The sequence below is a fragment of the Homo sapiens genome, chromosome 6 (assembly GCF_000001405.40).
Source record: "Homo sapiens chromosome 6, GRCh38.p14 Primary Assembly".
Classification (NCBI taxonomy): Eukaryota; Metazoa; Chordata; class Mammalia; order Primates; family Hominidae; genus Homo; species Homo sapiens.
The window spans coordinates 133,772,425-133,800,152 of NC_000006.12; the positions used below are offsets into that span (position 1 = coordinate 133,772,425).

A 27,728-nucleotide genomic window follows, 5' to 3' on the forward strand; every position below is an offset into this window, starting at 1 on the left:
GATGTAATGACAGTTTTGATATGCTACATGGATGCCTGTTTACAGTAGACTCCAGTCATTTTCCCAACAAGGAAAACCTACATCTGCATTCTTTTGATTTAGCTGTTCATCTTTGTAAAACACATACAGAACTGTTACTTACTAGCCAAGCCAAGACATTATCCTGCAGGAGCTGCCTGAAACCCCACCATAACTGTATTTAAAAAAAAAAAAGAAAGAAAGAAAAGAAAAAAACTGGCAGAGTCTAGGTGTGCCCCTTGCAGTTATTTAATAAGCTAAGAGAGAAGATTGGGTAAACTAGATGTCTAAATTGAAAGATAAAGTTCTGAAAATTGTTTTTGTCACTAGATATGCCTTGTTGAGGGCCCTGTTTTCTTTTGCCAACATGCTGAGTCTAATATTTTACAGCCAGCTTTTTCAGCAGTCCTGTGGTTAAAGAAAAAAGATGGACTGCTAGAGATACCACATTTGGACCAGCTGCAGGAATAACTTAATCAACATGGCCTGAAGGATGTTGTTCAAGTGAGTAGTTTGCTCTACTCTCAAATTAGTGAACAAACAGATTATCAAGGCCATTTGTTGATATGCTTACCCTAGTGTGGTAATGTAACGTATGGGTCAAAAATTTCTTGACACTCATATCAAAAGGTGGGATCTATGTCCTATCCCCTTGAACCCAGAAAAACTTATGATTGCTTTAGCCAATAGAGTATAGCGTAAGTGATGGGGTTTCCAACGCTAAGTCAGAAACAGTCATACAGCTTCAGTCTGGTCCTCTTGGAACACTCTCTAGAAGAAGCCAAGCACCATGAAATAAGTCCAACTATCCTGCAACCACCAGGCTGGAAAGGCCATGTGTAGGCATTCAGTAAAAGTGCAGGTGAGCTCCTATTGAAGAGCCAACATCAATTCCCAGTAATATGAGGGAGGCATCTTGTACATCAAGCCTAACTGAGCTACTGTATCCCCAACTGAACTACTGCATCCCCAAACTACTGTATCTCCAGCTGATATCTGCCTGCAACTGCAGAAGAGATTTCAAGCAAGAATCGCCCCTCCAAGCTCTTTCCAAATTCCTAGCCCATAAAATTATGAGCAAACCAAAGATTAAGTTGCTAAGTTTCAGAGTAATTTGTTACACAGCAATAGTAATCAAAACAGAATTAGTTACCTAGAAGTGGGTTACTGTTGAAAACAAAAATAACAACAATAAAACCCAAAAAATGTGCACTGACTTTGAGACTGAGTGCTGAACATTCAGCTTGGGTGCTCAGAAAAAGCTGGAAGGATTAAGGAGACTACTGTCAGAAGTCTAATGGCCCTCGAAAATACTCCGTGAGAGCTTAAAGGTAATTGAGAAAAATGTTACTAGAAGCTGGAGGAAAGGGGATTCTTGTTCTGTAGTGGGAAAATTTAGATAAACTGTTGCCTGCAGTAACAGAAAATAGAAAATGTGCCTCAGGAACTGATGGATTTGGCTAAGGAGACTGCTAGACAGAATGAAAAAGTCAATTGGTTTCTTTTAGCCATATATTCATAAGGCATAGATAGAGCAAGATGAGCCAAAGAAGAAAACGTTCAGTTTCCAAGATTATGTGGAGAAAATAGAAAGCAGCCAAGGCTTAATGGACTTGAATACAGCACTGTTTCCAATCTCTCCCAGAAAAAGATTCTAAACATAAGAAAAGGTCTTAGGATAAATATTGAATCTGGAAAAATGTGGTCTCATGGTCAATACGAAGACTATGTTGTGACAGCAATTTTTAAAATTTTGGAATCATTTTAGATGGTGCCTCTGAGACATTTTCAAACAAAAAAGCCTTATAAGTATCTTAAGGATTGCCTGGTGAGCCTTTCTGTTAAATAAGGCTTCTAAGACTACTAAGAGTGTGGTCTCATAACCACCTTATAGGGAGCCCGGGGTACAGAAGGACTTGCCTGGGAGAGATCTGCGCATGTGGATTTTATCTAATGGAGTGGATTTTAAATTGGTACACAAGAAGCTTACAGAGTTTCTAAAGGAATTGTATAAGCTTGAACTGAAATGAACATAGACAGTACAAAATGGAGGGATGCCCTTGAACAGGAAGCAGACTAAAAAAATGACTCAGCTGCAACACCAGCCATTTCCTGTGGAAAGGAAAGATGAATCAGAGAGATAGAAGCAAGATTCTGAGGGCAAACCAAAATCTACAGACAATTAGTCCCAGACAACAGTGCTGATCCCTCATTTAAAACTGGCAATTTGTGCTCAGCTTATTCCAGACACACTATAAATCAGTGGCGATTATCATTTCCATTCCCCCCTTTTTAAATGAGAGTATCTCTAAGTTGTCTAATTTCTATTCCACCAATTTCTACTGGGAGTGTGGGAGTAGATAATGTGTTCCTTACGTCACAGATCTTCAGATCAGGAAGAATGGTACTCACAGAGCTGAACCCAGGGAACAATATCTGAAGAGACTCCATCCTAGAATTGGTTTAGTTAAGAAGATTCTGAATCTCCAAGCCTGATGCTGAAATGGGATGATAGGTGGTTGGGGGGATAAAGAGGAGAAGGGGAATCTTGAGAGGGGATGACTGTATTTTGCATGTAGGAGAAATAAAAATAATTTGTGACCAGAGCATAGACATTGATTGTTTAAAATGGATCCAAAACTTTGACATTCCTTCTATCCAGAGGTAGGATCTATGTGGGTGTATTTATGACTATTTCAACCAATAGAGTATGAAAGAAGTGATGCCATGTAACTTCTGAGTCTAGGTAAGAAAATATCATGCAACTTCTGCCTGATATTCTTGGACTTCTCACCCTAGGGGAAGCCAACCACCATGAAAGATGTCCAATTATGCTGAGCCTGTCATGCTGGAGAACTCACCCATAGGTACTCCAGTCAACATCACCAATAGCAAACGCCAGTCATGAGAGTAAGTTATCTTGAACATTGAGCCAAGTCAAGCCTTTAGATATTGGCAGCCTCAGCCAATATCTGATTGCAACCTCATGAGTAACTCCTAAATTGTCACCCTCAAAATATGGAGCAAAATAAAATGAATATTTTAAGCCACTGAGTTTGGGGGGTAATTTGTTATTCAGCAGTTCTAAGTGAAATACCTATAAATATTTTTCAATGATAAATGTGTCTTTTTAGGATGAAAAGTCTTTCTTCGGGTTAGGTCAGAAAGAAAGATCAAATATGTAACATAAATCATAAGACCAAGAGGCCAAACGGAAGTCAGAAATAAAAGCTGGACAAAGTGAAGGTTTAATTAATGAGAGGATGCATAAATAATGGTATGTTTACCATATAGAATATTTTGAAACTATTGTTGAAAATTTGGGGCCATATTATTAGATTTGGAAGAATTTTTATGAGGTAATGTTAAATGGGAAAAATAAGACAAAAAAGGATGTTAAATATCTCCCCTCATATATGTGTGTACGTATACATTTGAGTGTGTATTTCTGTGTGTGGTGTGTGTGTACATAGAGATTATTTTCTGTGTTCTGTATGTACAAGTGTATATTCTAGATGTATGTGTGCATATGATTTTTAAGCACAGTTAAAAATATGGTAGTATATGAACTAGATTGCCAATATGGCTACCCCACAGTTGGGAGGCAAAAGGTTTGGTAGTCAGAAAGGGAAGAGGGGAAAGGGAGCCAAATAAAAAGAAAAAGAAAAGAATGATTGTATTATGAATTTGTGGTCAAATATTTATGAATTTATACACTATATATATATATGTTTACATAAGTTAAATAATTCAGATATGTGTATGTGTGTGCCTATGGGGACACAGAGCATAGATTATAGATGAAAGTATTATTACTGGCTGTCAGCAAGAATAAAGACAGAAATAGAGGACCAAGATAGTCATAGCAAAACAAAGCACAGAGGCACAGTGTGAAACTAGCTCAATCCAAGCAATAAACACTAATGTAATGGTGTCTAATTGAGGAACACATAGATACAGGTCAAAGCAAATATTAAAAGTAATTGGAGTCAAAAGAAAAGAGATACTGAAGAACAAGATAAGAGTATTGGGCAAAAGTAGGAGAGCCAGGAATAAGAAAATCTGAAACAATAGAAAAAGTAGGGCTAAGTACTGAGGCAGAGACAAGATTCACAGAGCAAGCAAGAAGTCGGAGAAGAAAATGCTAGGGACCACCAGCCACAAAAGACCTTAATAACTGATAGCATGTCTTATCTTGGCCAAGGAAGTTACAGATAATGTTATTTGTGGATTACTTGGGGACAGGCAGTGTTACATAGGAAAAATGTGTCTAATTAGTGACAGCTAGAAACTCAAAATCTACTAGAGTGAAGCAGCTTACTATGGAAATAAGCAGCATTTTCTGAGGTGTGGAACCCCTTCAGAAGAGCTCTGAAATGTGTTTTCCAGAGGCAAGTGCTAGGTTCTGCCTATCTACCCATAAATTTGACAGCAAGAAGAGTCATTACTACTTTCCCTTGAAATTTCATACTGACTTTTGTCCAACAATTAGTTCAATTAAGTCATATTCACTCATTTCTAGGAAGCTCAAATTTCTTTCTCTAGAGATAAATAACACTGTACATTTACACTTACCATTTGATCCATTTTGGAATCACAAACATGCCAATAAAAACTTTTTGGTCCATATGTCAATTTACTAAGTTCTTCAGGTGGAAATTGTAAGTATAGTAAAGCTTGCATCAGTAAAAAGAAAACTCTCTTTCCAAATGTGTCTATGATATACATCATCCAAAAAAATTATTTCAGAACTGCCTCTCTATGCTAGAGAAAACTGCAAAACTTAGTGGAATAAAGTGGAAGGCAAAACTGTTTAGGGAAACTGTCTCCAAATCATTTTAACAAATTTCATACAAACAGAAATACAACTAGGCCAGTCAGAAAAGAACTAGTTATTCTGACATGAGAAACGAGTTATTCTCATTTCTCCTAGTCCATGAGAGAAAGATCATATTTTCACATCTTTTTATATTTTGTGTTATTGGATTCAAAAACCATGAGACACATGCCAAAATGTTAACAAAGCCTCCCCTAGAAAACAGGAAGAGAGGTAACAGAATTGGAATTCTTATTATTTCATTCTGAATTTTTTAATTTTTAATGAAGAGCCTCTGTTATTGATGTATTAAAAAAATTTTAAATAATTTTAAAAATAAAAACAATCTTATAAGAAATAACATTGTCAATAGTGTAACTACAATACCCTGCTTTCTCTTAAACAATATATTTTTTAAATTGTTTCCAGCAAATTGTATTATGCGTTATAGTACTAATAGCCTTTATAATTTAGGCAATATTCAATGATGCATCCATTGCCACTACTTGATTTTTGACTTTGCAACAAGAGGTCTTGCCATTAAGGTATATCATTCATCAAAATGACAATTCTTCATATACACTTTAAACGTACATTGAAATCACATGTCATGTCTTTTTTTCTTACCCTAACATTGATAGGGTAATGTTTTCTTTCCTCTCAAACTCTCTTACAATGCATTTTATTATTATTTTTTTTAGACAGTCTCACTCTGTCACCCAGGCTGGAGTACAGTGGCCCGATCTCGGCTCACTGCCACCTCCACCTCCCGGATTCAAGCAATTCTCCTACCTCGGCCTCCTAAGTAGCTGGGATTACAGGCACCCACCACCATGCCCAGCTAAATTTTGTATTTTTAGTAGAGAGGAGGTTTCGCCATGTTAGCCAGGCTGGTCTCGAACTCCGGGCCTCAAGTGATCAGCCCTTCTCAACCTCTCAAAGTGCTGGGATTACAGGTATGAGCCATCTCACCCAGCCAGGATGCATTTTTTTATAATGGAAAATTTAAGTCATTTTTTCTATTGGAAATTTGTTGACATTTGGTATAGGTTTAAATTTTTTTTTAGTGAAGAACATATTCAGAAGTTCATGTCAAAATTAGGGAATCCAAATCCAAAATTCAAATTTCAAAAAAAGTCACAGCTCAAACTTGAAATTCCAGATGCTTAAAAAATTATTGAAGGTGGAAAATATTTTTTGTCTCTGAAGGGTTTATTTTTAAGCCTATTTTTCAACTTCACTGAGTTTGGTTTCAAGCCAGTTTGGACTAAACCAAAGTCTGAAAAAGAGTGGGAAAAAATCAGTAATTCAAAGTCATTTCAAACTTGGACATGTGACCTAGCATGACTCATATGGGGAGAGAAAACTGTCCAAATGTCCAGGGCCTTACACAACTCTACATTTTCGATCTTGGCAAATCCTAATGATTCACACTTGGCTTAAAAATATAAGCACATAGAAGATTTCTAAGCCCATACTCAATATAAAACTACACTTTTTATCTATTAAACTGGTTTATATACAAGTTACATTTTTACTCTTTTAAACTAAAACAGATTTATATATTTGACCCAGAGGTTCTTCAGAATTCATCTTCCACCAATACAGAGTGAAATGAAGCCAGATAAAGAACATTATTCAAGTGCATGAAAACAATATCTATATTAGAACTGACATATTTGCGGTAGTATCAACCACATATTTATACAGTTAAGTGTTCCAACAATACCACTTAAACTGAGCAATAAAAAACATCATTTGGATTTTTGACATTGCTTTCCTAATTCCAATGCAGGGCTATAGTAAAACATAACTATAATCTTTAATTTTTGTGTACTTTTTACCTGCAGTATATATGTTCTATAAATGATGTGTGTGTGTGTGTCTGTGTATAGTGTCTTAAAGCCTGAGTTCAAAATAATAAAAGACTTTGTCAGAGATAAAAATACAAGTTAAAATCCTAGAAGAAAAAGAAAGTTAAGTAATGCCGGGTAGAAACATTTATAAATATACATACATTATTTTATGAAACAAGAAACAGATTTGAGGCCAATATGTTTTATTATTAAAGAAATTAAATAGAATTTGTCTCTGGTTGCTGAATGTCAGAATTTACAATGTATCGACATTACTATGTGTACTATGAAAAATGATAAGACACAAAAGATAAGAATTTATTTCAAAAATTCTACATCTGTTTGACAAAGTGGCACATAGATTCATGATAAATTGAATTACTTAGTTTAATCTGCTTATACTAATCTTGCTCACAAAGGATCTAAGATTTAGAAAAATTTAGCTATTAATAAATATAAAGTGTTTATATTCCATATTCTCCAAAGGATTTGAGAGAGGGAAAGTTAATAATAGAGCCATGTTTATAATACAGGTAAGAAATTATACAAGGTAAAATGCTATAAGTTCCAAATGAAAAGAATAGACAATAGCAAAATGGGAAGAGAAACAACAGCAAGACTGACACAGTACGATTAACTTATTGATCCAAGTAACACCTCATAATAACAATTAGCACTTTACAGCCATCATTTCATTAATCGTCTCATCAACAACCACCTTGGGAGAGCTTATAATTATCTGTGTTCTGGCACAGCCAGAAACTCAGTGCAGATTGTCTTCTAGGTCAAAAGTCTGAGCTCCATGCATTAATTAAGCTATTACACAACCGTATCTATTTTATGTCCATCTCTGGTTTGCAAGGCCTCTAAAACATTTAGAATCTCATCAGTACTTTTCCTCTGGTGGCAGTGGTACCACAAGAAAGTAATTATCCAAATGAACTCAATTTTTTTTTCCAATGATCACTGAATGAACAGTGCCAAGCCACTCTAGAAATCAGAGTCAGATGGGCATTTTGTGTTTCTTAGGAAAAGTAAAGCCAGTTTTAATGTTGACCGCTTGTCAAATTGCATCACATCAGGAATATACTTTTCAATGATAGGCAATACTACACATGAGAGCTGCTGTCTCTCTTCCAAAGACAATGGTGTTGTCACTGTTTCTTCAAGATACCATCCTGGTGGAAATGTTTCTCACTCTGATCCAGGCCATGAGGAAATCTTCCAGGCATTGAATATAAGCAAGGTTGTCCATGACTGTGGGAAAGGTTGTCAGTTCTGGGGAAATTAATTCTTATGAGAGAACTGATGTATACACATTATTTCAAAGCAAGTTAAAGAGTCCTTTTAAGGATTCTGGATTCATTCCTTTCAACCATGAGAATGTGAACTCATTTCTGGTATTTAAAAGAAGTGAAACTTTCCACATGAAACTACATATTTTCTTGTCTGGTTTGTCTTTCTTTTACAATGACTGAATACCATGCTAAGTAAGTCAGTGCTTCTATGAGATGACTGAAAATTATAGATAATCACAATAAAACACTTTTTAAATTAGCAGTGATGCCTAAATTTAGACTAATTCTTGAAATTAGAATAAAGTAGTTCACCAAGAATGTGGGCTTATTTCAAAATTTAGGCTTCATTTAATTTTTTATCTTAAAAAATAACATGTAAGAGTTGGAAGGTATTTATTGGTACTGTTACATTTACTGCAGGAATGTTTTATGTGTATACTTTTGGAATATTATATGCATAACATAAGTCTATATCAGAAGAAAGGAAGGGAAAGAAAAATGAAGGGAGAGAGTGAAGGAGAAGTTGAGGGGGATGAAGAAAGAAAAGAAGAAAGAAGAAAGAAGAAAGCAGTGAGGGAAAGGAAGAGGGAAGAAGAAAGGGAAGTGGGTAGGGGTAAAAGACAAAGAGAAAGAATGTTGAAGAATTTTAGACAAAATTACAGTCTACTTTGACCACACTTGGAATCCTGCCTCCCAGTCTCCCCTGACGGAAAGTATCCCCTTTCATGAGTCTGATGTGTATCATTCTAGTCCACTCTGAAGTTTTATATTTGAGATTTAGTCCATCATACTAATCACATAGGCAATATCATTTGATGAGTCACTTTGTCATTCTGCATCATGATTTGAGTATATTTTTGTAGGTTGTATGTGTCTAGGAATTTATTTCTTCTAGGTTATCCAATTTGCAGATGTATAATTGTTCATAATAGCCTCTTATGATCCTTTATATTTCTGTGGTATCGGTTGTAATGTCTCCCTTTACATTTCTGATTTTATTTATTTGCATTTTCTTTTTTTCTTAATATGGCTAAAGGTTTGTCAATTTTATATTTTCAAAAACAACTCAGTTTCATTGATCTTTTCTATTGTTTTTCTAGTCTCTGTTTCACTTATTTCTGCTCTACTATTGTTTCCTTCCTTGTACTGACTTTGGGGTTAATTTGCACTTCCTTTTCTTCTTCCTTGAGATACTACTTTAAGTTGTTAGAGATCTTTCTTCTTTTTTGGTATAGGTGTTTATTGCTAAAAACTTCCCTCTTAGAACTGCTTTTCTGCATCCCATAAGTTTTGGCATGTTGTGTTTTCATTTTCATTTGTCTCAAGATATTTTTTAATTTTCCTTTTTTTTTTTTTTTTTTTTTTTTGAGACAGAGTTTCGCTCTTGTTGTCCAGGCTGGAGTCAACTCACTGCAACCTCTGCCTCCCAGGTTCAAGCGAGTCTCCTGCCTCAGCCTCCCAAGTAGCTGGGATTACAGGCATGCACTATCACACCCGACTAATTTTGTATTTTTAGTACAGACAGGGTTTCACCATGTTGGCCAGTCTGGTCTCGAACTCCTGACCTCAGGTGATCCACCTGCCTCAGGCTCCCAAAGTTCGGGGATTACAGGCATGAGCCACCGCACCCAGCCTAATTTTCTTTTGAATTTCTTCTTTCCCATTGGTTGTTCAGGAACATGCTGTTTAATTTCCACCTACAGAAGTGCCTCAGTATCTATCGGGGATTGGTTGCAAGACCCCAATGGAAACTGAAATTTACAGAAGCTCAAGACCCTGATACAAAATGGCATGGTAGTTGCATATAACCTCTGCACATCCTCTCAGATACTTTAAATCATCTATAGATTACTTACAATACCTAATTCGATGTAAACACGATGTAAACCTTTGTTATGCTGCATTTTTTATTTGTATTACCTTTAAATATTTTTCTCTGTATATTTTTGATCCACAGTTGGTTGAATCCATGTGGAACCCACAGATAGGAAAGGCCTGCTGAATTTGTGAATTTTTCAAAATTCCACCTGTTACTGATTTCTAGCTTCATTCCATTCTGGCCAGACAATGTACGTGATATGATTTCAATCTTCTTAAAATTGTTAGGACTTATTCTGTGGCCTAACATCTGATCTATCCTGTAGAATGCTCCATGTGCACTTGAGAAGAATGTATATTCTGCTGCTGTTGGATGGAATGTTCTGTATCTGTCTGTTAGGTCCATTTTGGTTACTTAATATTATAGTTAGCAGCTTTACATCTACATTCTTAAATATTGATTGCTGTAATTTTCCTTTTCTGCACTATTCTGATCCAGTTTTAAATTCAGTTTTTACTAACCACATTTCAAAAGCCAAACAGCTATTTTTCTATTTTCTGTAACAAGTCAAGGAATTTGGTAAACCTCATCTAGAAACTTTCTGGGTCTGAGGCTTATAATTGGGAGTGGGATATTTTTCTTCTACTTTGATTTTTTTAATGGTTATTAATGTACTCAAGGTTTTTTTATTTCTTCTAGTGTCAATTTTGGCAATTTATATTTCTGTAATTTTTCAAATTTGTTCACATTTCTTTATAAATACTTTTACTATATTTCCACGTTTCATTTGTAGTTATTTATTCTATATGTAATAACATATCCTCTCTCTCTTTCTCATTCCCTTTCTCTCTCTCTCCCAAATCACTCTGATCAATGCTTTGCATATCTTAGTAATGTATTGGTTATAGTACTCCATTTTTTTTAATTTTTTATTTTATTTATTTATTTATTTATTTATTTATTTATTTATTTATTTGAGACAGAGTCTCATTCTGTCACCCAGGCTGGAGTGCAGTGGCGCGATCTCAGCTCACTGCAAGCTCCGCCTCCTGGGTTCACGCCATTCTCCTGCCTTAGCCTCCAGAGTAGCTGGGACTACAGGCGTCCGCTACCACGCCTGGCTAATTTTTTTTTTTTTTTTTATTTTTAGTACAGACGGGGTTTCACCATGTTAGCCAGGATGGTCTCGATCTCCTGACCTCGTGATCCACCCGCCTCAGCCTCCTAATGTGCTGGGATTACAGGCGTGAGCCACCGCGCCCGGCCAGTACTCTATTGTTTACTTATAGTTGTGTTCTCTATATCCCTGATATTTACATGTATCTTTTCTATATTTTTCTGTCTTGTTTACTTTTTTAAGTAAAACATAAAGAATGGTCACATGAGCACACTTACATCACTGCCTAGCTTAGGAAAGTAAACCTTACTAATAGAATTCAAACCCGTTTGCTCTTCCTCAAAGAAATTTTCTATGCACCCACACCAGAGCGAGGTACTATTCTGAATTTTGTGTGCATCATTCCTTTGCATTGCTTTATACTACCACTACGTACATAGATTTTCCTGAGCAATGTATAGTGCTGTTTTGCCTATTTGTAAAGTTTGTCTTATTGAACCTGTATCTGTGAGATTCATCCATGTTTCTTGAATCATCTCCCAAATACTGGAGGCACTGGCTTCTCTGCCTTAGTGTCTCCTATTAGGGGAAACCAAACTAGGATGCTTTCCACTACCAGTGCATTTAGAGATCTTTTACATTGTTTATCATAAGGAAGTGTTTAATATTTTAATATTTTTGCATCTTGTGAGACGATCCTTCATCTCTTATTTGAAGAATTAAACTAATTCCTCTTTTATTCTTTTGATAATTTTATTTTCAATAATCCTCTTATTCCTGGGAAAACCCAGTTTAAACTTGATCTAATTTTTTATTTTTTTGATAATATTTTATTTAGCATTTGACATCTATGATCATAAGTGAGATTAGCCCGTAATTTTCATTTCTAATATTTTCCTTATCCAATTTAGGTAGCAAGGTTATACTAGTTTCACATAAAACCATTAGAAGATGTCTGACTTTTTGATTCTCCAGGAAAAATTAGGGTAAAAATGAAATCATGTTTTTTGACTCTTTGATTTAAATTACCTCTGAAATCATGTGGAACTGGCTTTTGTGTGAGTACATTTCCAATCTTAATTAAACTTATATAATGAGAAGAAGACTCATGCATTTTATTTTGTCTTGAATTCCCTCTTAAGCTGTAGCTTTTCTAAGAAATTCTCACTTTATCCAAGTTTTTGTGTTTGTCAAAAGTTAATTTCATAGTTTTATCTTTTTAGTCAATAGTATCTATAGCTGTCTTCTTTTTCATTGCTAATATTGTTTATTTGTGTTGTTTCATATTTTCTGAGCCCAAAAATGTCTATTTTATTAGTTTTTTCAAAAAATGAACTTTTGCCTTAGTTGATTCTCTCTACTGTATATTTGTTTTTCATTTAATTAATTTCCCCTTATCTTTATAGTTTCCTTCCTTCTGCTTTCTCTGTGTTTATTTTGTTGTTCTTCTAACTTCTTAAGTTGCTTAGCTCATTTATTTTCAGCTTTCTCCTTTTCTAGTATAAGCATTTAGAGCTGTAAATTCACCAGAAAGCATGCTTCAATTGTATCTTGCAATTTGGGCATGTATTTGTTATTATTCACCTTTGGCTATGAGTTATTTAGAAATGCTTTCTAAAATTAATTTTCAAAGATATAAATTTTTCCTATACAACTACTTATTATTGATTTCTAACATGGAAAAATGGTCTAGATGATAAAAATTCTACAAAATTGTAGATACGGTTGATTTTGACAACTCTTCCTTGTATAATTGAGAATATGGTTTATTGGGTAAGGTTGATTTTGAAAACTGCTCCTTGTATAATTGAGAATACGGTTTATTCTTTCATTGGGGGTCATTTTTCTTTCATCTCAAGCTTGCTAATGATGTTATCTAAACTTTTAATACACTCATAAAAAATGTTTTGCTGCTTGATTCATCAGTTACTCAGAGAAGTTTGTAAATTCTTACACTGTTATTGTAGATTTGTCCATTATGGCCTTATACATTTTGAGGCTATGCTAAAAAGTTTACAGGTTGCAATTAAATGTTTATCATCATATAGCAATACTCTTTATGCTTAGTGACGTTTTGCCTTGAAGACTATTTTGACTGGCCTATCTCTCCACCATGATGTTAGTGAATTGGGGTGTAGTATATCTTTTCCCCTTTACTTTTGACCTTTCTGTGTACTCATAATTTAGATGTTTCTTTCATTCTCCTTGACAATCTATAACTTTTAACTGTCAAGTCTATTAAATTTATAGTAATTACTATTACTAATAGATCTAAATTTATTTCTACAATTTTGTTTTGTGCTACATCTCCTGATTTTGCAATAGTTTTCTTTGTTCTTTCTTTTGGTCTAATTAAGTTTTGTTGTTTTACTCCAATGCTCCAACACAGTGTATCTAGGTGATGATTTTTTTTTTAATGTATCCTATCGGAGATTTCCAAATGAGCCACATTTTTCATTGGTTCAGAAAGTTCTGCTTGGACATCACCTTTCCATCATTCTCTATTACTGGATGTCCTGAAATGTGGAAGGACAAGCCTACCATCCCCAACTTTCATGAGTGAAGGCTTTCAGGCCTGATTACTCATGTCCTAGTTCAGTTGTGGCACTGTAATGAGAAAAGTCATAAAACAGAAGAAAAGATCAATTGAGATATGCATTTAAGGTTTGTTAGGCATTTTGAGGAACTATAGTGTCTCCTACAGCTTTTCTGTGTTAAAAACAAAAAGATCCCTACCCTCACACTGACCCATTTGCCACAGCCACCATTAATTATACTGTGACAGATACAAGTGATTCTATGAAGGAAACAAGGAAGCTTCATGTTCAATATTAAGTGTTAGGGACATGTGATGACATCTGTGGTCTCTCACAGACTGGGAATTAAGAGATGTGGTTTTTTAGGGCACACTTCTGTCATATGCTACAACTTTGCCTTGGCCCATAATATACCTTCTCGGCGCCTGTGAAACATGTCATCACTGTATTTGGAAGATTAATAGATTTGCAGATTCACAACCAAGAGGTGGGATGGAAAAATCTCTACAGAGCACTTATAATATGAAAAGCATATTCATTATTATAATAGGATTTGGTGATTTCATATTGCTTTCATAATATGAACTAGAGAGGGTGGATTTGCCAAATTCCTCTTGCGTGGTGAAGACAGTTGGCAGTCAGACTTTTAGTTAAAACTCTAAACCTGGCAAATAGTCAGGATTATTTGAGAAGGTTCTTACAAATACTCTGAGGTGACTCTCACCGTAGGCTTTAAATATCATCCATCCTCTACTCCAGGCTAAACCTTTCCCAGTTACCTTTGGTGTATTTTCTTCATCGCTCTTTCCACAATATGTGGTTAGATTTTTGTTTGTTTGTTCATTTCTTTTAGGACAGTCTTCCTCAGTGGACTGTGTGGTCCACAAAGACAGAGATGTTGACTGTTATTGTCTTCATTCTGTACATAAAGCTTACCCTAGGGCCTAGAACCTGGTAAATGCCCAATATATATGTGAAGGGATGAAGGAATAATTTCTTCCAACATTCCTGTTGGATTTCTGTAATCCAACAGAAATCTCTTTAGTGTGACCCAGGAATTTATGTGTAAAGTTCTGGAGATGATTTTGATAGCCAACACATTGAAGAACACACTAGTTTCTGACAAAGTGACTTTGTCATAACTAAGGAGAATATATCAGAATTTTTGATGGCATGGGAGCAGGGCCAGTTTAATGAGGGTTTGATTAGGAGTTCTCAGAAGGGCTCCTTTCCCTCCCCGTCCTGCACTTGAGGCTCAGTACTCTGCAGTCTTGGTGTTCTTATTTTTACCTTTGAATTTGTGTTTTGTAAGTGAAGTCTGATGGGATGATAGAGTATGAGCAGGGGTTTGGAGCCTCTGCTCAGAATCACCTGCTTCTCACCATTTCACTACCTTCCCGGTAGGGGCTGCAGCTGCCTGCACAGCCCCTGCCCAGTGACGCTGTTACCCTTTCCCCAGGTGGGGTCAGAGCACAGGTCTAGGAAGCAATAGAGTCCAGCCCACACACAAAGTCATGGTATGTGACCCTTGGATGCCAGCAAGGGTACAGAAGTTTGATGTTAAATAACAAAGAATGCCATAATGGGTCAATAGAGACAACAGAAAAAAGGAAAATGCTTTTTTCCTGCATTTTGAATAAGGAGCCTAGCATTTTTCTTTTATAGTCAACAATTTACATAGCCAGCTGTGGGGACAGGAGATATTACTTTGACAAAAAGGGTCATGTATGTATATCTCCAGTTGAGAAACACCATTCCCAGGTTTACTTTCTCAATTAAGACATATTACCACCCAGTGGATGGTGGTGCCTACGTGTCTTTTGCTCCAATTAGACTTTTTCAAAACTGACACAGAGAGTTACTTCTTTTCAACTAAATTAAGCTTTCTTGATACAAATGTGATTTTACTAAAATGTTAAGAATAGATATTAACTATTTTATTGCAAAATGCATTTTATATCACAATTTGAAGAATTGCATATAAGCAACTTATTCCCTAACTCTTATAATTATAAATTTTTATTCTTCAGTCTTTCCATTTCAAACTTATGTTCTTCCCCTCCTCTCACTACCTACAATACCTAAAGACTTCTAGCTCGCTTTAGAGGAAGTTCCAGTAGTTTCTAGTTGACGCTCTCGGCCTGTGTGTTGTTCAAACTCTTAAGTCTATGTCCAAGAGTTTTTCTTTCTCTAGGGTGCTCTGATCTTCCCTCATGTAAATTTGCAGAAGTCTCTCAAGTGTTGAGGTGTCAGTGGAAAACCTCAAGTCCCCAAGAAGTGGCCCACTTAACATCAAATGCTGAGATGGCCAAGAAGCTGCCTGGGAAATGCTGAGCCACTTGGTTAAACAATGAACTCTGATACTGAAGCAGGCCATGCTGAGACAGCTTGACCACCAACAAGAAATACCAACTATTGTTCTTGATCATGTCTCAGCCCTGCCTCACTGCTCGTGTGGTTTCACCAATATTTGACCATGGTTTCATGTTTTAGGAACTTATTTCCTGTCTATCTGCCATGCCATTTATCTCTAAGTTTCTCCAGAGGGGCCTGTTTATCCAGCAAAGGAACAATTTTATTCCCATTATTGGTTATTCATGAACAATGACCTCCCTCTTTCCACCACTCCTAGCCAATTAGGGATTTCTTGATCTTGCCCTTAATTCTACTCACCAAGCTTAGCCTGGAGTGCCTAATCCAGCCTCCTGTCATCTGTAAAATATACCTGTGTACCCTTCACCAGCAGCACCCAAGAGCCAGTTACTTGATCTTGCGCCAAAATCTATTCACCAAACCCCAATCTGCAGCACCTAATTCAACTACAGGCACCTTGCATAACACTAGCATTGTGCAAGTTGGAGCAGTTCGTGGCTACACTCTGGGCCCCAGAACAGGGGTATGACTTCTCCCCATCGAAATGAATCACAGCTCCAAAGCACAGCTTTTCAATTCTGATTTATTTCAAAACTTATGATCTTTCTAACAGGTTGCATTACTAGAGCTCTTCTTGATGGATAAAACCATAGAAAAGTGTTCAAAATCCTTATGAGGAAATTGTGCAAGTTGCCTCATGCTTAGAGGATGCTATCTCATTGGGACAAAGCCTACCTCGCAGAGCAGCCCAGGACAGCCTTTGTGAACCCAGGTGGGTAGGGTCATGTCCTTGCTGATCCACCACTGCCTTTGGATCTAACACCCAATTTCCTATAGGTGCAGATGGGAACGGCTGACAGAGAAGAGAGAGAACAATGATGAAGGCAAATTACCATTTATTTATATTTTGGATGTGAACATTACACCAGGGCCTTCTCTAATAAGCACTGGTCTTTTAAAAGAAAAGAAATTTTCAATACTACTGTATGGAAAACGCATGTTCCTGCCCAATACCCATGTTTCTGTCCAGGGTCAGCTCATTTCTTTCCTTAACTATAAACATCCAGGAGCTCCATCTTCCAGGCTGCCTCTAGCATTAAATCAAGAGCTTCTGAAGATCCTTAAAGTCCTTGGAATTGTATGTCAAATAATGTGTCCATATTTCCTTGAGTATTTTTTAAAAGAAGAAGTGCAGTAGATTTCATTAGATTTTAAAGGGTGTCTATATTTGTTCGTTCTCATGTTGCTATAAGGGCATACTGCAGACTGGGTAATTTATAAAGGAAAGAGATTTAATTGACTCACAGTTCTGCAGGGCTGAGAGGGCCTCAGGAAACTTATAATCATGGCAGAAGGGGAAGCACACACATCTTTCTTCACAACATGGGAGGAGAGAGAAGAATGAGAGCCAAGCCAAGGGGGAAGCCCATTAAAAAACCATCAGATCTCATGAGAACTTACTCACTACCATGAGAATAGCATGGGGGAAACCACCCCCATGATTCAATTACCTCCTGCTGGGTCCCTCCCACCACACATGGGGATTATGGGAACTACAATTCAAGGTGAGATTTGGTACAGTCAAACCATATCATTCCAGCCCTAGCCCCTCTCAACTCTTGTGTCCACACATTTCAAAACACAGTCATGCCTTTCCAACATCCCTCAAAGTCTTAGTTCATTCCAGCATTAACCCAAAAGTCCAAGTCCAAAGTTTCATCTGACACAAGGCAAGTTCCTTCAGCCTATGAAACTGTAAAATCAAAAACAAGTTAGTTACTTCCTAGACATAATGGAGGTACGGCATTAGGTAAATACTCCCAGTCCAAATAGGGGAAATTGGCCAAAACAAAGGGGCTAAAGGCCCCATGCAAGCCCAAAATCCAAAAAGGCATTTATTAAATCTTAAAGCTCCAAAATAATCTCCTTTGACTCCATGTCTCACATCCAGGTCACGCTGATGCAAGAGGTGGGCTCCCATGGCCTTTGGCAGCTCCAACCCTGTGGTTTTCCAGGGTACAGCCCCCCTTCAGGCTGTTTCACAGGCTGCTGTTGGGTTCCTGCAGCTTTTCCAGGCACACGGGTATAAGCTGTAGGTGGATCTACCATTCTGGGGTCCAGAGGATGGTGCCCCTCTTCTCACAGCTCCACTAAAGACAGTGCCCCAGTGGGGACTCTGTGTGGGGGCTTCAATCCCACATTTGCCATCTGTACTGCCCTAACAGAAGTTTTCCATGAGAGCTCCACTCCTGCAGCAAACTTCTTCCTGGACATCCAGGCACTTCCATACATCCCCTGAAATCTGCGTGGAGGTTCCCAAACCTCAATTCCTGACTTCTGTGCACCCACAGGCTCAATGCCATGTGGAAGCTGCCAAGGCTTAGGGCTTGCACCCTCTGAAGCTATGGCCTGAGCTGTACCTTGGCCCCTTTTAGCCACATCTGGAGTGGCTGGCATACAGGACACCAAGTCTCTAGACTGCACACAGCAAGGGGGGCCCTGGGCCCTGGCCCATGAAACAATGTTTTCCTCCTAGGCTTCTGGGTCTGTGATGAGAGGGGCTGCTGCAAAGGTCTCTGACATGCCCTGGAGACATTTTCCCCCTTGTCTTGGTAATTAACATTCAACTCCTGGTTACTCATGCAAATTTCTGCAGAGGGCTTGAATTTCTCCCCAGAAAATGGGTTTTGCTTTTCTATTGCATCATCAGGCTACATATTTTTCAAACTTTTATGCTCTGTTTCCTCTTGAACACTTTGCCACTTAGAAATTTCTTCCTCCAGATATTCTAAATTATCTCTCTCAAGTTCAAAGTTTCAAACTTTCCCACATTTTCCTGTCTTCTTCTGAGTCCTCCAAACCATTCCAACCTCTGCCTGTTACCCAGTTCCAAAGTAGCTTTCACATTTTCGGGTATCCTTATAGCAGCACCCCACTCTCTGTGGTACCAATTTACTGTTTCAGTCTGTTCTCAAACTGCTATAAGGATGTGTATGAGACTGGGTATTTTTTAAAGGAAAGAGGTTTGATTGACTAGTAGTTCCACAGGGCTGGGGAAGTCCACAGGGCTGGGGAGATAGAAGAGGAAGAACACATGTCCTTCTTCACAAGGTATGAGGAGAAAGAATAATGAGAGCCGAGCCAAGGGGGAAGCCCCTTATAAAACCATCACATCTCATGAGAAATTACTATCACAAGAATAGCATGGGGGAACCACCCCCATGATTCAATTACCTCCCACTGGGTCCCTCCTATCACACATGGGGATTACGGGAATTACAATTCAAGATGAGATTTGGGTGGAGACACAGCCAAACCATATCAGTGTCCGTGATGCAAAAATGTTTTAAATCTCAGTTGAATTGTGAACAAGTGGTTTTATCCACCAAGATGTGAGATATTAAGACATTTTAGACCAGTGCCATTCTCGTAGTCTTAGAAGACCCTGGCCAATGGGTGCCAATTGAACTTGAATCTTATAATTCATGAGCCCCCAAACTATGAACTATAGTCAAAAACCATGTCAGGACAATCATCTGGGACAGTGGTTTTCTGAATGTGTCAATAGTGGTTAGGATTCCATGGATGCCTCGGGATTTTCTGTATGGGTGAAAAACATAAAAACATTAGGACCAAGATGGGGGGGATCTACTTCCAGCTGCAAGCACATTAATTCTTTTGTTATATGGTTTATAGACTGCGGTTACAATTCAATGCCAGTTTTTCAAAATTCTATTAGCGAAAGAAGGTATTGAACTTTGCTTTAAGGTTTGAAAGTTACAGCTGTAAGATGTCACAGCTCCTTTGCTCACTGATGGTGACTACATAACTTCACCAGTAACCATTACTGAATTTATTAATAAATACGACTATCAGCATATACACTACCTATGCTCACATTGGCAAATGGAACTCTTCTCATGTTGATTGTAGCCAATTGGTGGAGGACACCTAGAAGACATTCCTTAGAAAGATTCTGAGCCAGGCTGGCTCAGCAGAAAACAGGGCCAGTAATAATGTCTACCATGATCTCAGGAGGGTATTATGTATTTCAGACTCCTATTCTGGGTCATTTGTGGAGAATAGCTGGCCTGAGCCTGTGCCGCACAAAATATGAATTCCAACATGGTTATTTTGTCTCTATGAAAACCACAACTTAATCTCATAATGATTTTTTATTGATTCCGTAAACTAAGCTCCAGAGCCTCCACCCTTCCCAGCCTCACTTCTGCTGCTTTGCCAGACTTGACCTTGGGCACACAGTTATCATTTATATTGGTAAATGTTAAGAAACAATTGAAGAGAGAAACACCCTGACTGTGTTCTGCACAGAAAGGAGTATTAACTTGTAAATGGGGAGTGATGTGGCTCAGATTGCCAAAGCAGTTATTAACTCTTAGTCAACCTTCCAATCTGAACTCTAGGGAAGTCACTCCTGACTCCAGGCTGATGAGTGATTTCCTTTACTCCTCTGAGTTGAAAGTTATATATGTGTGTATGTGTGTGTGTGTGTGTGTGTGTGTGTGTGCATGGATGTGATCAAATATGTCTGTCCTACTAAGCTGTAAGCCCCAGGAAAGTCTATTTTTTTATATTTTTAAAATTGATATGTCATAATTATACATATTTTGAAGGTACATGTCATATTTTGATACATTGTCCAATTATTACATCAGGGTAATTGAGATATCCATCTCCTCAAACATTTATCTTTTCTTTATTTAGGAAACATAATCCTTTTCTTCTAGTGAATTTGAAATAATATAATAAATTATTGTTAACTGTAATTTCCCTACCATGTTATCGAATGCTAGAACGTATTCCTTCTATCTAACTGTACTTTTGTACCCATTAACTAACTTCTCTTTATTCCACCTTACTTTCCTTCCTAGCCTCTGGTAGTCACCATTCTACTCTCAAGGTCCATGAGATCTACATTTTTAGCTCCTACATATGAGTGACAACATGTGATGTTTGTCTTCCTGTGTCTGGCTTATTTCACTTAGCATAATCATCTCCACTTCCATCCTTGTTACTGCAAATGACAAGATTTTAATCTTTTTTGTGGCTGAATAATATTCCATTATTTGTTGGTCCATTGATAAACATTTCATATTTTGAATAGTGCTGCAGTAAACAGGTAGCCCTTTGATGTACCTATTTCCTTTCTTATAGATACATATCCAGCAGTGGAATTCCAGGATCATACGTTAGTTCTATGTTTAGTTTTATGAGGAAACTCCATATCGTTTTTCATTTTGGCTGCACTATTTTACATTTCTTCCAACAATGTGCAAGTATTCCAAGTATTCCCTTTTCTCCATATCCCCACCAGCATTTGTTAATTTTTGTCTTTTTGATAATAATCATTCTAACTGGGGTGAGATATCTTATTGTGGCACTGATTTTCATTTCCCTGGTGATTAGTGATGTTGAACATTTTTTCATATACCTGTTGGCATTTGTATCTCTACTTTGAGAAATGTCTATTCAGGTCTTTTGCCTATTTTTTATTTTTATTATTTATTTATTTGCTTATTTTAAACTTATTTTAGGTTCAGGGTACATGTGCAGGTTTGTTATATAGGTAAAACCATGTCATGGGGATTTGTTGTACAGATTATTACATCACCCACATATTAAGCCTACTACTCAATAGTTATTTTTTCTGATGCTCTTCATCCTCCTACCCTCCACCCTCAAGTTGGTCCCAGTGTCTGTTGTTCCCCTCTTTGTGTTTGTGTGTTCTCATCATTTAGCACCCACCTATAAGCGAGAACATGTGGTATTTGGTTTTCTGTTCCAGCATTAGTTTGCTAAGGATTATGGCCTCTAGCACCATCTATGTTCCTGCAAAGACACGATCTTATTCTTTTTTATGGCTGCATAGTATTCCATGGTGTATAAGAAGCACACGTTCTTTATTCAGTCTGTCATTGATGGCCATTTAGGCTGATTCCATGTCTTTGCTATTGTAAATAGTGCTGCAGCGAACATACGTGCATGTGTCTTTTTGGTAGAACAATTTATATTCATTTGGGTATATACCATAATGGGATTGCTGGGCCAAATGGTAGCTCTGTTTTTAGCTATTTGAGGAATTGCCACAGTGCTTTCCACAATGGTTGAGCTAATTTACACTCCCAACAGTGTATAAGGGTTCCCTTTTCATCACAACCTTGCCAGTAACCTTTTAATAATAGCCATTCTGACTGGTGTGAGATGGTATCTCATTGTGGTTTTGATTTGCATAACTTCAATGATCAGTGATATTGAGCTTTTCTTCATATGCTTGTTGGCAACATGTATGTCTTTTTTTTTTTCTTTTTTCTTTTTTTAGACGGAGTCTCGCTCTGTTGCCCAGGCTGGAGTGCAGTGGCACCATCTCAGCTCACCCCAACCTCCTCCTCCCAGGTTCAAGCGATTCTCCTGCATCAGCCTCCTGAGTAGCTGGGACTACAGGCACACGCCACCACACCCAGCTAATTTTTGTAGTTTTAGTAGAGACAGAGTTTCACAATGTTGGCCAAGCTGGTCTCAAACTCCTGACCTCGTGATCAGCCCACCTTGGCCTTCCAAAGTGCTGGGATTACAGGTGTGAGCCCCCGCACCTGGCTGGCAACATGTATGTCTTCCTTTGAGAAGTGTCTGTTTGTGTTCTTTGCCCACGTTTTAATGGGGTTGTCTGTTTTTTACTTGCAATTCAAGTTCCTTAAAGATGCTAGATTTTAGGCCTTTTGTCAGATGCATAGTTTACAAATATTTTTCTGCCCTTTATGTCAGTTGTCTGTTTACTTTATTAATAGTTTATTTTGCTGTGCAGAAGCTCTTTAGTTTATTTGTCAATTTTTGCTTTTGTTGGAATTGCTTTTGGCATCTTCGTCATGAAATCTTTGCCAGTTCCTATATTTAGAATCTTTAGTTTATTTGTCAATTTTTGCTTTTGTTGGAATTGCTTTTGGCATCTTCGTCATGAAATCTTTGCCAGTTCCTATATTTAGAATGGTATTGCCTAGATTGTCTTTTAGGGTTGGTATAGTTTGAGGTTTTACATTTAAGTCTTTTGTCCACCCTGAGTTGATTTTTGTGTATGGTATAAGGAAGGAGTCTAATTTCAATCTTCTGCATATGGCTAGCCCATTATCCCAACACCATTAATTGAATAGGGAGTCCTTTCTCTCTTGCTTGTTATTGTCAGCTTTATCAAAGTGGTTGTAGGTGTGTGGCCTTATTTCTGGGCTCTCTATTCTGTTCCATTGGTCTATGTGTCTGTTTTTGTACCAGTACCATGCTGTTTCTGTTACTGTAGCCCTATACTATAGTTTGAATCAGGTAAGGTAACATAATGCCTCCAGCTTTGTTATTTTTGCTTAGAATTGCCTTGGCTATTTGGGCTCTTTTTTGGTTCCATATGAATTTTAAAATAGTATTTTCTGGTTCTATGAAGAATGTCATTGGTAGCTTGATAGGAATAGCATTTAATCTGTATATTGCCTTGGGCAGTATGGCCATTTTAAAGAATTTGATTCTTGCCTATTCATGAGCATGGAATGTTTTTTCATATGTTTGTATAATCTCTGATTTCTTTGAGCAGTGTTTTATAATTCTCATTGTAGAGATATTTCATCTCCCTAGTTAGCTGTATTCTTAGCTGTATTTTATTCTTTTGGGGGCAGTTGTGAATAGGAGTGTGTTCTTGACACTTGACTTGGCTGTTGTTGGTGTATAGGAATGCTAGTAATTTTTGTATGTCAATTGTGTATCCTGAAACTTTGCTGAAGTTGTTGACCAGCTGAGGGAGCTTTTGGGCTGAGACTACAGGGTTTTCTAGATATAGAATCATGCCATCTGCAAGCAGGAATAGTTTGACTCCCTCTCTCCCTACTTGGATGCCCTTTATTTCCTTCCCTTGCCTAATTGCTTTGGCCAGGATTTCCAACACTATGTTGAATAGGAGTAGTGAGAGAGGGCATTTTTGTTTTGTTCTGGTTTTCAAAAGGAATGCTTCCAACTTTTGCCCATTCAATATGATGTTGACTGTGGGTTTGTCATAGATTGCTCTTATTATTTTGAGGTATGTTCCTTTAATACCTACTTTATTGAGAGTTTTTAACATGAAGCTATGTTGAATTTTATCAAAAGCCTTTTCTGCAGCTACTGAGATGATCACGTGGTTTTTGTCTTTAGTTCTGTTTATGTGATGAAATCACATTCATTGATTTGTGTATTTTGAACCAACCTTGCCTCCCAGGGATAACCTACTTCATAAGGGTGGATTAGTCTTTTTGATTTGCTGCTGAACTTGGTTTGCTAGTATTTTGTTGAAGATTTTTCCATCAATGTTCATCAAGGATACTGGCCTAAAGTTTTGTTTGTTGTGTCTCTGCCAGGTTTTGGTATCAGGATGATGCTGGCCTCATAGAATGAGTTGGGGAGGAGTCCCTTCTCCTCAATTTTTTGAAACAGTTTCACTAGAAATGATGCCAGCTCTTCTTTGTACATGTGGTAGAATTTGGCTGTAAATCCATCTGGTCCTGGGCTTTTTTTTAGTTGGAAGGCTATTACTGATTCAATTTCAAAACTCCATTATTGGTCTATTCAGGGAATCAATTTCTTCCTAGCTCAGTCTTGGGACAGTGTATATGTCTAGGAACTTATCCATCTTTTCAAGGTTTTCTAGTTTTTTTTGCACAGAGGTGTTCATAGTAGTCTCTAGTGGTTGTTTGTATTTCTGTGGGGTCAATGGTAACATCCCCTTTGTTATTTATAATTGTGTTTATTTGGATCTTCTCTCTAGTCTTCTTTATTTAGCTAACAGCATATCTTCTTTTTTTTTTTTTTTTTTTTTTTTTTTCAAAAAACCAACTCCTGGATTCATTGATCTTTGTGATGGTTTCTTGTGTCTTTACCTGCTTCATTCAGTTCAGCTCTGATTTTGGTTATTTCTTGTCTTTTGCTAGCTTTGGGGTTGATTTGCTCTTGCTTCTCTAGTTCTTTAGTTCTGATTTTAGCTTGTTAATTTGAGGTCTTTCTAACTTTTTGACGTTGGCATTTAGTGCTGTAAAGTTCTCTCTTAACACTACCTTAGGTGTGTCCTAGAAATTCTGGCATGCTGTATCTTTATTCTTATTAGTTTCAGAGAACTTCTTGATTTTTGCCTTAATATCATTATTTATCCAAAAGTCATTCAGAAGCAGGGTAATTCTCATGTAATTGTATGGTTTTGAGCAATTTTCTTAGTCTTGATTTCTATTTTTATTACACTGTGGCTCAGAAGAGTGTTTGGTGTGATTTCAACTCTTTTGCATTTGCTGAGGATTGTCTTATGTCGGATTGTGTGGTCAATTTTAGAGTATGTGCTACATGGCAGTGAGAAGAATGTCTATTCCGTTGTTTTAGGGGTGGAGAGTTCTGCAGAGGTTTATCACATCCATATGATCCAATGTTGAGTTCAGGTCCTGAATTTTTGCTAATTTTCTGCCTTGAAGATCTGTCTAATACTGACAGTGAAATGTTGAAGTCTCCCACTATTATTGTGTGGGAGTCTAACTCTCGTTGTAGGTCTCTAAGAACTTGCCTTATGAATCTGGGTGCTCTTGTGTTGGGTGCATATATATTTAGTATAGTTAGGTCTTCTTGTTGATTTGAACCCTTTACCATTATGTAATGCCCTTCTTTGTCTTTTTAAATCTTTGTTGGTTTAAAGTCTGTTTTGACTGAAACTAGGATTGCAACCCCTGTTATTTTATGATTTCCATTTGCTTGGTAGATTTTCCTCCATCCCTTTATATTTATTTTTATTTTTTTGAGACAGAGTCTCACTCTGTCATCTGGGCTGGAGTGCAGTGGCACAATCTCAGCTCACTGCAACCTCTGCCTCCCAGGTTCTAACGATTCTCCTGCCTCAGCCTCCTGAGTAGCTGGGAATACAGGTGAACGCCACCACACCCAGCTAATTTTTGTATTTTTAGTAGAGACGAGGTTTCACCATGTTGGTCAGGCTGGTCTCAAACTCCTGACCTTGTGTTCTGCCCACTTCCGCCTCCCAAAGTGCTTGGATTACAGACATGAGCCACCACACCTGGCCAATCCCTTTATTTTGAGCCTATGGATGTCATTGCATGTGAGATGGGTCTCTTGAACACAGCATACCATTGAGTCTTGCTTTTTTGTCCAGCTTGTCACTCTGTGCCTTTTAAATGAGGTATTTAGCCTGTTTACATTCAATATTAGTATTAATATGTGTGGATTTGAACCTGTCATTGTCTTTTTAGCTGGCTATTATGCCGACTTGTTTGTGTGGTTGCTTTACACAGTCACTAGTCTATGTACTTAAGTGTGTTTTTGTATTGCCTGGTAACAAACTTTCCTTTCCATATTTAGTGTTCCTTTCAAGACATCTTGTAAGGCTGATCTAGTGGCAACAAACTCCGTCAGATTTTGCTTACCTGAAAAGTGTCTTATTTCTCCCTCACTGAGGAAGCTTAGTTTGGATGGATATGAAATTCTTGGTTGAAGATTTTTTTTTAAGAATGTTAAATATAGGTCCCAAATTTCTTCTGGCTTGTAGGGTTTCAGCCAAAAGGTCCACTGTTAGCCTGATGGGGTTCCATTTGTAGGTGACCTGCTTTTTCTTTCTAGCTGCCTTTAACATTCTTTCTTTCATTTCAACCTTGGAAAATCTGATGATTATATGTCTTGAGGATGATCTTCTTATGTAGAATCTTGCAGGGGTTCTCTATATTTCCTGAATTTGACTGTTGGCCTCTCTAGTGAGGTTGGGGATATTTCCATGGATGTTATCATGAAACATATTTTCCAAGTTGTTTACTTTTTTCCCATTCCTTTCAGGGATGCCAACAGTTCCTAAATTTGGCCTCTTTACATACTCCCATATTTTTTGGAGGTTTTGTCCATTCCTTTTCATTCTTTTTTCTTTATTTTTATCTGTCTAACTTCAGAGAGCCAGTGTTCAAGTTCCAAAATTATTTCCTTAGCTTATTCTGCTGTTAATACTTGTGATTGCATCATGAAATTCTTGCAGTGTGTTTTTCAGCTCTATCAGATCAGTTAGGTTCTTTTTTATACTGGCTATTTCATCTGTCAGTTTCTGTATTGTTTTATTGTGATTCTTACTTTTCTTAGATTGGGTTCTGCCATTCTCCTGAATCTCGATGATCTTTGTTTCTATCCATATTCTGAATTCTATTTCTGTAATTTCAGCCCACTCAGCCTGGTTAAGAACACTTGTTGGAGAACTAGTGCAGTTGTTTGGAGGACATAAGACATTTTTGGAGAACTAGTGCAATTGTTTGGAGGACATAAGACATTCTGTTCATTTGAGTTGCTGGAGTTCTTGTGTTGGTTCTTTTTTATCTCTGCATGTGGGTGTTCTTTAACTGCTGGGCTGCCTCTGATTGAAGTGGTCAGGTGGGGTCAGGATGGTTGTGCTGGAGTCCCAGGTGAGATGGCCCTACCCAGTGAGGAAAAGTGAGGACCAGAACCTGCATGGAGAACTGTCAGCCTCTTTTCCATGAAGTGAATGCTCTCTGCTGGGGGTCCAGACCAGCTCCTGGTCCCTGTGGACTCTCCAGAGCCTGGCAACAACAAGGGCAAGGGTTGTGAAAAAAGCAAAGATGGCAACCCACCCCTCCCACTGGGAATTGCAGAGCTGCTACTGTCTCGACGGCCCCAGCAGAGTGTGCCTGGAGACCCAGGACCCTCCTAGTGAGGAGATACAAGATCTGGGGCCCATGTAACAAAAAATCTGCATGCTGGGGGTCCACTCCAGTCCCTAGTCACCTTAGATTTTCCAGCACTTAAAGGTATTAACAGTGAAGGCTGCAAAACAGCAAATATGACAGCCTTCCCCTTTCTCTGGGAGCTCTGTCTCA

At 37.7% G+C, this 27,728-nt stretch overlaps 1 long non-coding RNA gene across 1 annotated transcript in view; it reads right to left on the reverse strand.

Moving 5' to 3' along the window:
• The window catches only part of TARID (TCF21 antisense RNA inducing promoter demethylation), a 386,755-nt gene that overhangs the window by 270,173 nt on the left and 88,854 nt on the right, over window positions 1–27,728 (reverse strand). The gene's annotated exons all lie outside the window — the stretch shown is intronic.